Raw genomic sequence first — 14,633 nt, forward strand, 5'->3', positions numbered from 1 at the left:
GGACTGGTTTGGAACCAACTTAATCTTCTGTAGAAAAGCTAAGAAGATCCATGGATTGGGATGTCTTAGAGCTCGAAGACATCATTCTAGGTTCTGGGGTTTATTTCTAGGCTAATATCTCATAGTGAGGTTTAAGAAAATTACATATCTTTTACTTTTTAACTAATTCCAGACTGATTTGCATGTTTTCACCCTGCCAGGAAGAAGGAAATTAAGATTGGGTGTGGTGGCTCCACCCGTAGTCCCGGCACTTTGGGAGGCCAAGGTGGGAGGATCACTTGAGCTGAGGAGTTTGAGGCTGAGCACCACTACACTCCAGCCTGGGCGACACAGCGAGAGGCTGTCTCTTCAAAAAAGGGAAATTAAAACGCAACTTGACAAAGTTGCAAATCTACTTCTGCATTAGTTTCTCACAATATAATGGTTCAAAATTGGGTGATTTTTCCCCTAACTGATTGGCATGTGTATGTTCAGCAGTAGCCAGAAATTCTATGCAGTGGAAACAGACAAAACCAAGATGGGACTATGCAGAAGAAATCTCTAGTTACCAAGGCACTGCAAAATAAAGTCTACAATTGCACATCACAATCATCACCAAAACAGAGATTTCTAGAGTCCTTCTGTAACTCGCAGAAGACTCCTTCCCTAAGCCAATTTGGCCTGGATTCTTGAAAGTCTCTGGGAAACACGGCAAATTTTATAAACAGGGTTTTTCTGGACTTATATTCTCATATTCACTACATCTAAGAAAAATTTATAAAATATATATTATATATAAAGATATATTAAAATACACACACACACACATTCTGTAGGACTTGATTCTTTGAACACAGACCTTAGAGCTCTGTGCTCTGCACTAGACAGGAGTAAATGCTATACCTCTGCAGAACTAAAACAAGTAAACTTGCCCTTGTCATTGGTTCCTTTTGCAGTGAGGAGGGGAAGTCTTTCTAGTCCTACCTTCCTCCACTGCTCAGACATGTTGCTATTAAAGATAAAAGCAGTAGGCTAGGCATAGTGGCTCACGCCTGTAATCCCAGAATTTTGGGAGGCCGAGGCAGGAGGATCAGCTAAAGCCAGGAGTTTCAGACCAGCCTGGGCAACAAAGCAAGAGCCTGTTTCTATAAAAAACACAAAACTTAGCTGGGCCTGGTGGTGCATGCCTGTAGTCCCAGATACTCAGGAGGCTGAGGCAGGAGGATTGCCTGAGCCCAGGAGGTGGAGGCTGCTGCGAGCTATGATGAGGCCAACTGCACTCTTGTCTGGGTAACAGAGTGGGACCCTGTCTTTAAAAAAACTAATAATAAAAAAAAAAAACACTGGCTTCAAAATTACATGTGGTCAAATTCAGCCCAATTGGGTTCTATCTGAATATGACTTATTTTACACAGCTCTGTTTTCAACTGTGAAACAGAAAATGACAGAGGGAAAGGACTGAGGGAAGGGAAGGGAGGGGAGGGAGGGAAGCAGGGAGAAAGCATATGATACTTCCCATTTAGGAAGTGGAATAGCGGTAGAAGAGGCCCTGATAAAGCCTCAGAATGGAACTAATGAACTTGAAACCGCCAGCATGCACATCGGCATTTTCAGATTTCAGAGAAGATGCACCTGAGGGGAGGAGCCTCTTGTAGGGAAGGGAAAGATGTCAAGCCTTCCTTTGTCCTGTGCACAGGACAGACTCCAAATCCTTCTCTTCGCTCCCATTTGAGATCATGTGAACTTCTGTTTGATTTAAGCATCTGAGTCTTTTTCTTTCATTCATCCCTTGGTGTCTGTGATGGGCAAGGCACTTGTCTGGTTGCTGAGAGCTGTGCAGAGGACAATTAGACATGGTGTCTGACCTTAAGGAGCTAACAATAGTGCAGGGAAAGTGAGACTTGGATAGAGAGAGTCTTTGTCAGGTGGAAAGTGCTGTCTCAGACTGAGAAGCCTTCCATCTAAGAGAGCAGGGAACGTTCTATAGAGGAGGGGGTATTTGAGAGGTCCCTCAAAAGAATGGTAGGATTTCATGGGGAGATGAAAAAGGTATTCTAAGAAGTGAGCTTCCCCTTTTCTTTTCTTAGCTCCCACTGGCAGAAAAGGAGCAGAGTTCCTTCCACCTTGAGCCAGAGATTTTCAGGCAAAGCACCTCACTGCCGGGAGGTGGAGACCTGGAGGGTTAGAAAGAAGGAGAATTGAGAAGGATAAATACTAACATGTTCATAGCCAGGTGAATAGAGGGATGGGTGGGGAGTTGGGTGTTTCAAAATTATATTCATTTTGCTTATTTGTACTTTTTCATTTGGGAAGAGAATGGGGTATGCCTTTCCCCATACTTTTGTAATGGGGAAAAAATAAACACAATTGTAAAATAGCAGCCCTTCCCTGGCAACAAAAAGAAAAAACAAACAGGAAGAAAAGAAAAGCGATTGAGAAGAACCTGCATATCTCTTTGAGACTGAATGTCTCCTCTGTGCTCTGGCAGCCTCAGCGATCACAGGCCTGCAGTGCTGCTTTTGGCCCTGCTTGGAAACCCCCATGTGAGCACCAGCAATTGCAGCTCGGCCTCCAGGGACTGTATCACACCACAATCATTGATTTTCATAATCAATGCCATCATTGACAAGTAGGCAGAGAGATAAATGCTCTAAAATCATCTAGGCCCCTTGGGCCAGATGTTCCCAGCCTTATCAAGAAGAGAAGCTGGCTGGGCGCAGTGGCTCATGCCTGTAATCCCAGCACTTTGGGAGGCCTAGGAAGGCGGATCACCTGAGGTCGGAGTTCGAGACCAGCCTGATCAACGTGGTGAAACCCCATCTCTACTAAAAAATACAAAACTAGCCAGGCATGGTGGCACACGCCTGTAATCCCAGCTACTCGGGAGGCTGAGGCAGGAGAATGGCTTGAACCTCCCAGGAGGCGGAGGTTGCGGTGAGCCGAGATCACTTGCAGTGAGCCGAGATCACGCCATTGCACTCCAGCCTGGGCAACAAGAGTGAGACTCCGTCTAAAAATATATATATAAATAAAGGCCAGGCGCGGTGGCTCACACCTGTAATCCCAGCACTTTGGGAGGCCAAGGCAGGCAGATCACGAGGTCAGGAGATCGAGACCATCCTGGCTAACACGGTAAAAATATTACTATATTATAGTAAATATACTAATTAAATATACAAAAAAAAAATTAGCTGGGTGTGGTGGTGGGTGCCTCTAGTCCCAGCTACTTGGGAGGCTGAGGCAGGAGAATGGCGTGAACCTGGGAGGTGGAGCTTGCAGTGAGCCGAGATCGCACCACTGCACTCCAGCCTGGGCGACGGAGCGAGACTCTGTCTCAAAAAATAATAATAATAATAAAATAAATAAATAATAAAAAATTTTTTAAAAAAGAACTTAGAGCAGGGTCTGGTGGCTCACACCTGTAATCCTAGCACTTTGAAAGGCCAAGGTGGGCAGATCACCTGAGGTCAGGAGTTCAAGACCAGCCTGGGCAACAGGGTGAAACCCCGTCTCTACTAAAAATAGAAAAATTAGCCAGGTATGGTGGCGGGAGCCTATAATCCCAGCTTCTCAGGAGGCTGAGGCAGAAGAATCACTTGAACTTGGGAGACGAAGTTTGCAGTGAGCAGAGATTGTGCCACTGCACTCAATCCTGGGCGACAAAGCAAGGCTCTGACTCAAAAAAAATTAATAAATAAGAAGAGAAGTTACTTTTTGTTTCCTGAAAAGCTTCACTTCCTGACAATGAAGGCCCTGAGGAGCGAGTGGACAGCTGGCAGCTGGCAGTCATCAGTGGGGAAAGGCAGAGGTACCACTGTTGACTCTACTGGGCCTCAGGCCTCGGCCCTCATGGGGAGGGACCCTCTTTCAAACTTTTGGAGGGGTAAGGGAGGGCCAGACAGTGCTGAGACCAAGGCGATAGTGGTGGGCGGGGGGCCTGAAGTTCCATCATCTAATTGGGCTTCTTCACGGGTGCATTGCCCATAAGTGCCATATTGATTCCCTCAGCTCCCAGGGCTGCCAGATAGGGCCGGGGCGGCCAGAGCCTCCCAGCCAGTCTCCTCCTGCAGGAGCACCTTGTCAGTTTACCTCAGATATTTGCTGCTCAAATACCATCTTCTGTGTGTATCACAACATGACACGCCTACGAAGAATGCTGAGCTAGGATTTCTAGATGTACTGTTACATGGTGATTTACTGGTCTGGAATTGCTGCCTTGCAGGAGGTCAGGTGAAAACACTACCAGCAAAACCAAGCATTTATGGAGCCACTCCCTTGTACCAGGTCCTGGGCTGGGATGTCTGACTGCATCAGCTCCACGGTGGTAACTGTGGCTTTAGCCTGCCCAGCATTCAGACCCCCTTGCTTGGTAACAGTGCCTACATCTTAGCTTCTATTGTGGAAACTACCTTTCCCCCACTGCATGCAGGTCTGGTGGGCATGGGGATGGAGGCACCTTGCTCTCCATCCATGAGGAAGGCAGCACATGGTCCAGCCTCATCTAGTCTGACCTCTCTTCCTGGAAGTTGAGTGTCAAGCAGGGAGCCGCAGAACTGAAAACAACCGGAGCTGCTTCATGCAGTCAAGAATCCCCTGAAGAAAGAAGGCAGTTACCTCCCTATTCTTGAGATCTCTTCAGCTGGCCTGGCTCTCATCCTTTCCAAGACCTGGCTGTTTGCTTTGCATTCAGTTATATGAGCTAATTCATATCCTTCTAATAAATGTCTTCCATCCTTCTCCAAAGTTAGCCCTAGAGCATATTGCTGTTGTTTACAATCAGAAAGCCCTAGAGGTGTACTCTCTAATTCTCTTAATAACCTCATTTTTCTGTCATTACTCCTGTTTTAGTACAGGTAGCTGAGCTTCAGAGAAGTTAAAAGATGTGCCCAAGGTGGCACAGCTAATGAGTGTCACAGTCAGAATCTGAACCCAAGTCTGTCTGATGTGGGGTCATGACAAGAGCATGGGTTTTCTTGGGAGAGAAAAATGACTTCAAATCCCCACTTCCCACATAAAAATGCACAATGGGTGTAGCAATGCCGAAGCCACAGAGCTGTTGAGGGTGGATGGAGGTGACGCATAGGAAAGCACATGGCCTAGGGTATGTGCTTAGTAAACAGAAATGCCTGTCCCTAAGAATGAAAATTATTTTATCTGCATAGTAAATTAAAGCAATTGGCACTTTTAGTCCAAAGATTACTGCTTCTGAGTTGATCCAAATACAATCTCTCTATCTCCCTCCCCCTCTATTTTTTTAAAAAGAGAAACAAGGTCTTGCTATGTTGCCCAGGCTGGCATGCAGTGGTACAATAACAGCTCACTGTACCCTTGAACTCCTGGGCTCAAGCAATCTTCTCACCTCAGCCTCCCCAGTAGCTGGAACTATAGGTGTGTGCCACCACACCTAATTTTTAAAGTTTTTGTAGAAACGGGGTCTTACCATGTTGCCCAGGCTGGTATCAAACTCCTGGCCTCAAGGAGTCCACCCACCTCAGCCTCCCAAAGTTCTGGGATTATAGTCATGAGCCATCATGCCCGACCTCTCTCTCTCCCTCTCTTAGACACACACACACACACACACACACACATTTCTTGGTTTCCTGTCTGTGGAAGTCCTACCAGAAAATTCAGATGCCCTTAGGAAAAAGAGCACAGGGTGCGCATAATACAATCGAATTCTCCCATCCAACATGCCTTGGGAGAAGGAATAGAGTAAGAATTTTCATTCCTGTGAAGGATGATGAAAATGAGGCACTAAGACACTAAATATTTATCTCGAGGTTATGTAGCAAACCAAAGGTTCAGGAGAACCCAGGAACTGTATATTAGGCCATTCGATCTGAAAATACCAGAGCCTGGAAGGAAGAGAACAGCTTTTCCAAGTTGTTGGATTTGTTCCTTCTCTTACCTTCTTCCCCTTCCCTGTTTCCCACTTCAAAAGAAAAAGCTCCATCACTTAAACATCTACATTAGGCACATTTCTAAAAAAGCTTCCCCAGAGCTCTGTTCATTACATACCCTTCTTTCCCCTAGGAGTTGTGACCTACTTAAAATATTCTTACAATTCTCTTAATGGGGGAAAAAGTCCCCAAAGATATGTTCCCTATGCTGGAAAAATTAAAGTCCTAAAAATAAGCAGTTAAAGAGAAAGTGTTAGGCCAGGTGCAGTGGCTCATGCCTGTAATCCCAGCAATTTGGGAGGCTGAGGCAGGTGGAGCACGAGGTCAGGAGATCGAGACCATCCTAGCTAACACGGTGAAACCCCATCTCTACTAAAAATACAAAAAATTAGCCAGGCGTGGTGGCGGGTGCCTGTAGCCCCAGCTACTCGGGAGGCTGAGGCAGGAGAATGGCATGAACCCAGAAGCTTGCAGTGAGCCGACATTGCGCTACTGCACTCCAGCCTGGGCGACAGAGTGAGACTCCATCTCAAAAAAAAAAAAGAGAAAGTGTTGCTTGTACTAAGATTTCTGATGCTTTTTCAGAGATAAATTCAAGTTTTCCCAGGCCTGTGATTGTGAAAAGTACAACTAAAAGATGGCCTTGGCATTTATTCAGCAGTCAGTAGATATTCACAAACTACCTGCCGTAAGCAAGGACTTCACCAAAGTTAAATGACAGCAAGAGGAAAGAAAACCCACACAGCTTGGATTTATTCAACATAATTGTGACTCTTGGGATTCTTCTGGTTTCTGGGGCTAATAAAAAACATTCTACTTTGTAATATATCATAATTTCTGAGATTTCTCTTTTCTTCTACATTCATTTCTTCCAATCTCGAAGGTTTTATTTGAGGGTGCTTTGTTATTGAAAAGGCAGTATAATAACAGCAAGAGAATTTTACAAATTTAAGATTTAAGACTCATCTTTTTTTTTTTTTTTTTTTTGAGATGGAGTCTCACTCTGGAGTGCAGTGGTGTGATCTTGGCTCACTGCAACCTCTGCCTTGTGGGTTCAAGTGATTCTCCTGCCTCTGCCTCCCAAGTAGCTGGGATTACAGGTGACTGCCAGCACACTCGGCTAATTTTTGTATTTTTAGTAGAGACGGGGTTTCACCATGCTAGCCAGCTGATCTCGAACTCCTGACCTCAGGTGATCTGCCTGTCATGGCCTCCGACCACGCGCGACCCTAAGACTCATCTCTAATCCATCACTTCAGCACAGCTATGGCACAGGCACACAGATTATTACAGTTATGAACATGATGTGCTTGCTATGTTCTATTCGCTATTGTTCCTTTTATCAAAAGTATTTTCCATGTTTCTTTCTACATGCCTCTTGATTTAGGCTTTGGTTGTGAATGCAAGATATTCCATTGTATAATGTACCAACAAAATTTTAAACTGTCCCTATAATATTAGACATTTCAGTGATTTCTACTTATTTCTATTATAACCAACACAACAGAGGGTATTTTTTATGCATCTGAAATTTAAAAAACCTTTGTTAACTAACTTTATTGGGATAAATTCCTGGGTCTGGTAATTATATGGCTTTTCCTATATAGTGGTAGTAATTTTATGGCTTTTCCCATATATTATCATGTTGCATTCCCCACAAATGTTATCAATTTATAATGCAACCCACAATAAATATGGAATTTTACTGTAACCTCAATAGCATTATGTTGCGGTTTTGAAAAATTATTAACCATTAGCAAGAAGCATAACAGTATAATGGTGTTGTAATTTGCACTTTTGATTGCTATCAACAGTGAACACATATCAATGTTTTGTTCATTGCATTGCCTCATGTAGATGAATTTCTTTTTATGAACTGTGAATTTATCCCTGGAGAGTTGTTTTTTGTCCTCCAGTCAGGTTTATTCAGGTATAATTCACATATCAAAAAGTTATTCTTTTTCGTGTGCAGTTCTATGACTTTTAACAACTATAGACAGGTCACTGAATGGTTCTATGATCCTGAAAAGTCTCCCTCTGTGCCTTTGTAGTCACATTCTCCCTCCAAACAGCCCTTGGCAATCACTCTTCTATTTTCTTTCCCTGTAGTTTCAACTTTTCCAGAGTGTTATATAATTGGAATCATATAGTAGACAGTTATGCACAGAATTGTAATGTTTTAAAACTCTTTAAAATGTTTCTAGGCCGGGTGCGGTGGCTCACGCCTGTAATCCCAGCACTTTGAGAGGCCGAGGCAGGCGGATCACGAGGTCAGGAGATCAAGACCATCCTGGCTAACACAGTGAAACCCCGTCTCTACTAAAAATACAAAAACTTAGCCGGGGGTGGTGGTGGGCGCCTGTAGACCCAGCTACTCGGGAGGCTGAGGCAGGAGAATGGCGTGAACCCGGGAGGCGGAGCTCGCAGTGAACCAAGATTGCTTCACTGCACTCCGGCCTGGGTGACAGAGCCAGACTCTGTCTCAAAAAAAAAAAAAAGTTTCTTTTCTTTCTGCAGTATTCAAAATGCTTTATTAAAGGTTTGGTTCAACATCAAAAGAGCAGTATGTAGTGGGGGGAACAGAAATTGTAACTAATTTACCACTAACTTTCTTGCACCACCACACTCAGGAAAAAAGCCGTATAGAACCTGGCCTTCCAAAGGCCCAAGTCAGTCCTTGAGTCTCTGCCTCTCCCTTGTCCACAATCCCATGCCCATTCTCCTTTTTTGAAATGAATTATTGGTTTAACAGAGGTTAACTTTTTTTTTTTTTTTGAGACGGAGTCTCGCTCTTCTTGCCTAGGCTGGCGTGCAATGGCGCAATCTCGGCTCACTGCAACCTCTACTTCCCAGGTTCAAGTGATTCTCCTGCCTCAGCCTCCTGAGTAGCTGGGATTACAGGTGCCTGATACCATGCCTGGCTAATTTTTTTTATTTTTTTAGTGGAGATGCGGTTTCACAATGTTGGCCAGGCTGGTCTTGAACTCATGACCTTGTGATCCACCCACCTCCGCCTCCCAAAGTGCTGGGATTACAGGCATGAGCCACCGTGCCTGGCCTAACAGAGGTTAACTTTTAATTTGTAATATATAATGCAAATATTTCCCCCACTCTGTTCCTTTTTCATTTGATAGAATTTTTTTTTCTTGAGACAGAGTGTCACTCTGTCACCTGGGCTGGAGTACAGTGGTGTGATCTCAGCTCACTGCAACCTCTGCCTCCCGGGTTCAAGTGATTCTCCTGCCTCTGCCTCCCGAGTAGCTGGGATTACAGGTACCCGCCACCACACCCGGCTAATTTTTTTTTTTTTTTTGAGATGGAGTCTTGCTCTGTCACCCAGGCTGGAGTGCAGTGGCTCGATCTCCGCTCACTGCAAGCTCCGCCTCCCAGGTTCACGCCATTCTCCTGCCTCGGCCTCCCGAGTAGCTGGTACTACAGGTGCCCGCCACCACGCCCGGCTCATTTTTTGTATTTTTAGTAGAGATGAGGTTTCACCATGTTAGCCAGGATGGTCTCGATCTCCTGACCTCGTGATCCACCTGCCTCGGCCTCCCACAGTGCTGGGATTACAGGCATGCCACCGCGCCCGGCCGTATTTTTAATAGAGAAGGGGTTTCACCATGTTGGCCAGGCTGGTCTTGAACTCCTGACCTCGTGATCCGCCTGCCTCGGCCTCCCAAATTGCTGGGATTACAAGCGTGAGCCACTGCGCCCAGCCGATAGAAATTTTAAATTTAAATGAACACAGTTTTCCCCCATGGATTCTTTTAACTTGAAAATTATCCATAGATCTAAAATATATTGAATTCTATTTTTTTGCTAGCTCTTGAAGAATTTGACCTTTTAATATTTCATTTTGATTCAACTCCAATTTCTGTCGGTATTTGCTCAAGGTAACGACTTTAAAAGTTTCTTGACCATGATTCATAATAAGAAATATATTTTGCATCACGATTCAGTGTACACAACAAAAATATACATATACAGGCTGGACATGGTGGCTCACACCTGTAATCCCAGCACTTTGGGAGGCCAAGGCAGGTGGATCACCCGAGGTCAGGAGTTTGAGACCAGCCTGGCCAACATGGTAACCCCATGTCTACTAAAAATACAAAAATTAGCAGGGTATGGTGGTGGGCACCTGTGGTCCCAGCTACTTGGGAGGCTGAGGCAGGAGAATCACTTGAACCTGGGAGGCGGAGGTTGTAGTGAGTCAAGATTGTACCACTGCACTCCAGCCTGGGTGACAAAGACTCTGTCTCAAGAAAAAAATAAAAATAAAAAATATCTATCTATCTATCTATCTATCTATCTACACACACACACACATACACACATACACACACACACACAGTATACAAAACTGAAACACAAATCTCAGGACACAAATCTTCCCTTCACTACACGTATACACTCTGGTATTTTCTATTCTTTCTTTTTAAAATGGCCCACCTGGCCAGGCACAGTGGCTCACGCCTATAATACCAGTACTTTGGGAGGCCGAGGAGGGTGGATCACTTGAGCCCAGGAGTTGGAGGCCAGCCTGGAGAACATGGCGAAACCCTGTCTGTACAAAAAAATACAAAAATTAGCTAGGCATGGTGATGCATGCCTGTAGTTCCAGCTACTCAGGAGGATGAGGTGGGAGCATCGCTTGAGTTGGGAGTTCAAGGCTGCAGTGAGCTGAGATCACAACACTACTGCACTCCAGCTTGGGTGACAGAGGGAGACCCTGTCTCAAAAAAAAAAGGACCCACCCAAGATCAATATTCCATTATTCCCCAGACAAACTCCATAGACATTAATGGTTGTATTATTGTGTATTCTGCCACATCAATGAAAAGTTCTGAAGTGATTACAGTTATCCATGGCAAATCATTGGATATGGTGGGGAAAGTGGAAATATCTATTATGTCGGTTGGAAATAAGAAAGACCTGCATATGAAAAGGGTGATCAGATCGAGCGCAGTGTCTCACGCCGGTAATCCCGGCACTTTGGGAGGCCAAGGCAGGCAGATCACCTGAGGTCAGGAGGTCGAGACCAGCCTGGCCAACGTGGCGAAACCCTGTCTCTACTAAAAATACAAAAATTAGCTGGGCATGGTGGCACACGCCTGTAATCCCAGCTACTCAGGAGGTTGAGGCAGGAGAATTGCCTGAGCCTGGGAGGCGGAGGTTGCAGTGAGCTGAGATCGCGCCATTGCACTCCAGCCTGGATGACAGAGCAAGACTCTGTCTCAAAAATTAAAAAAAAAGAAAAAGAAAAAAAGGGTGATCAGGGAAGCTTTGGCAGAATCTTGGAATGCGGCTTTTTTGGAATTTTCTACTAGAGAAAATGAGAATGCTGCTGATTTTTTTTTTTTTTTTTTTTTTTTTGAGATGGAGTCTTGCTGTCGCCCAGGCTGGAGTGCAGTGGCGCGATCTCGGCTCACTGCAGGCTCCGCCCCCCGGGGTTCACGCCATTCTCCTGCCTCAGCCTCCCGAGTAGGTGGGACTACAGGTGCCCGCCACCTCGCCCAGCTAATTTTTTTGTATTTTTAGTAAAGACGGGGTTTCACTGTGTCAGCCAGGATGGTCTCGATCTCCTGACCTCGTGATCTGCCCGTCTAGGCCTCCCAAAGTGCTGGGATTACAGGTGTGAGCCACCGCGCCCGGCCAGCTGCTGATGTTTTTAAGAGGACAATTTTAGAGGCAGATAAAATTGACAGGGCAGCTTCCCAATGAAAATCTTCGTGCTCAGTGATATGATTCTACTGCAAAACCTGAGGACACTGGGAATATCTTCCACCTGAAGAAACAAACTCCCATCATCCTTTAAGATAAACTACACTTCTTTTTCCTTCTCTTAACCTGAAAGATATATTTTGGGTCAGAGATCCTCTCCCTTCAGATTATGTTAAATTCTGACTGTCCAAACGAGTGCACTTCCATTTTCAAATTTTAAGCAATCATATTTTCAATTTATATATGGTATTTCTTAATATTATGACCAAGAGTTTTATCGGCATTAATTTTTCAGTGTAGTTTGTTGTTTAAAATAATGTAATCATCAAAATATATTGTTACACTACTATTAACCAGGCTTCAATATATCAGTGTTTATTTCATGGTGCTAAATGTATACTTTCAAATAAAATGGCTGTAAACCTTTAAAAAGTAAAAAAAAAAAAAAAAAAATAGGCTGGGTGCAGTGGCTCACACCTGTAATCCCAGCACTTTGGGAGGCTGAGGCAGGCAGATCACTTGAGGCAGGAGTTCGACACCAGCCTGGCCAACATGGTAACCCCATCTCTATTAAAAATACAAAAATTAGCCGGGTATGGTGGTGGGCACCTGTGGTCCCAGCTACTTGGGAGGCTGAGGCACAAGAATCACTTGAACCTGGGAAGCGGAGGCTGCAGTGAGCCAAGATCTCATCACTGAACTCCAGCCTGGGTGACAGGGTGAGACCCTGTCTCAAATAAATAAATAAATAAATAAATAAATAAATAAATAAATAAATAAATAAATAAAATGGCCCACCAAGTTGATTTCATGACTCACTGATGAGTCACAATCCACAGTTTAAAAAAGTGTGAAAAGGGAATTTATTAAAGCCACACAATGTCTCCACTAGTCCCACTCTGAGTTTAGGTAGCACCCTAAAGATGAACTGATATACATGGGTTAAGCTGGATCAACTGGACATTTTCCCCCAGTGGCCTGTGCCATAAATTGCCCTTTTCAGAGAATAGATATTGGTGGTCGTGGCAGGGAGGGGTAATAGAAATGAGATATGGTTTTGGTATTCCTGGATTAGCCATCTACTGGGCTGGCAGCCCTCACATGGCTGGCCTGCCCTGTCTCGTGAGATGGATCAGCCTTGAGGTGACCTGTCAGGAAAGGACATTTGGGCTGGAAGTAGCAGAAGCCTCTGTGAGCCATCCTTCATGCAGAACTAGTCAGGAGCAGCTCCCGCTCAGCCAAGAGAGTGAAGCATGCCCATCGCCCAGCTCAGCCAGGTAAGTACTAGGGAAACCTGTGGGAGGCCCAGGTGAAATGAAGGCATTGTCTCAAGAGGTCAGGCTGACTCCAGGAAGGAACAAAATGATGCATGCATGGCTATGCACAGACTAGAAAAGCAAAGACTAAAGGGAAGGATGGAAGTTGTTCTAACTGTTTTGGGTTGCTTGGAGGGAGTGGGGCATGGGAGAGGGAGGGAGTGTGTAGTCAGTGCGTGGGAATGCAGAAAGGAGCATGCAGAGACAAGCAATCTGGTAGGCCATGTGGGAGACTGTGGCCATTCTATGGTAGGGAGACCCTTCCTGGCCACTCCCTCAGTGGCCCTGGCACATTAAGCTTTGTTGTCCACATTGGGTGGGTTGTGTATGCTTTAAACAACATCTTAATCCCCTTGCCTATTTATGAGGTGTATGACTGAGCCGTGCCCAAGAGTTTCAGAAGATATGGTACCATCATTTATACCTATCTCGCAGGAGATCTTAACCCCTTCTCTACTTAACCCAAATGAAAGCGAGGTCATTAGGAAGCTGTGCCTGGTGAAGTTCTGGCACCAGGTGGGTAGATCACATTTTCTAGTTTATGTAAAATTTTAACATTTCAGACCCCCAGTTTTAAGACCTTATCTAATTTCCTTGAGCCCCTTAGTCATTGTGAACTCGCTGTGGAGTGTCTGCCTCCACCTGCCTTGGTGTTTATGAACATTCATGGTAACTTTAGAAGGCAAGGGTTAGAGGAAACTTTTTGCCGCCCACCCCCAGTCTGCAACAGTACCTGTGGGGAAGATTTTACCCTGGGACTCCAATTTTCAGGGAGAGGAAGTTTCTAGGATTTCCCATAGGCTTACGAGGGACTCGCCATGTGGAAGGATTTTAGGCCTGAGAAGGATAATAACACTTTATAATTTCTAGGTGATCTTATTTGTTGCCTCTTCCTTCTCCAGAGTGACTACTGCATTCCGACCTGCACCCCCACCCTTTTTTTTTTCTTTTGAGACAGAGTCTTACTCTGTCACCCAGGCTGGAGTGCAGTGGTGTGATCTTGGCTCACTGCAACCTCCACCTCCCTGGCTCAAGCTATTCTCATGCCTCAGCCTCCCGAGTAGCTGGGACTACAGGCATGCACCACCACACCTGGTTAATTTTTGTATTTTTAGTAGAGACTGAGTTTCACTATGTTGGCCAGGCTGGTCTCCAACTCCTGGCCCCAAGTGATCTGCCTACCTCGGGCTCCCAAAGTGCTGGGATTACAGGCCTGAGCCTCTGCGCCCAGCCCCCTCTTCTGCTTTCTAAGTGTCCATTCTCCTTGTAGTGAGTGGGTGGTGGGGGGATATACACATGTGACTCTGGTTAGTACATAGGCAGCCATGAAGTCCACAAATGTACAGGGAGCCACAGCTTTCATGCTACAGACTTGCAAAGGTATGCATCTGCTTTCCCCTTGCCCTGGAATATAGATCAGAACACTTCATTTAGTGAAGGGACCTGTTCCGAGAGTGATGATCCCTCCCTCGTTTGAGACACTGCCTTCATCCTGAGCTTCTTGGAGCAGCCCAAGGCCCTGCCAGCTCTCTTTGCCTGTAGCTTGTAGGCATTTATGACAGTTGCATACCCTGCCCTCCAACGGCAGCCTGAGAGACTGAACTATTACCAAGTTCACCTGGAAAAATGTCACCCTGATTGATTAGAATGGTGGGTGGCCATCTTAGCTCATTAGAATCACCTGGGAAGTTAAAAAAAAAAAATCCAGTATGCA

General features: G+C 45.2%; 1 protein-coding gene and 1 pseudogene across 1 annotated transcript in view; both read right to left on the minus strand.

Annotated features, from left to right (window-relative positions):
- MICAL3 (microtubule associated monooxygenase, calponin and LIM domain containing 3) overlaps nucleotides 1-14,633 on the minus strand; it is a 236,913-nt gene that overhangs the window by 220,928 nt on the left and 1,352 nt on the right. The window lies entirely within an intron of this gene.
- Nucleotides 10,630-12,028, minus strand: RHEBP3 (RHEB pseudogene 3; annotated as a pseudogene).

Source organism: Homo sapiens, chromosome 22, assembly GCF_000001405.40.
Source record: "Homo sapiens chromosome 22, GRCh38.p14 Primary Assembly".
NCBI classification, from domain to species: domain Eukaryota; kingdom Metazoa; phylum Chordata; class Mammalia; order Primates; family Hominidae; genus Homo; species Homo sapiens.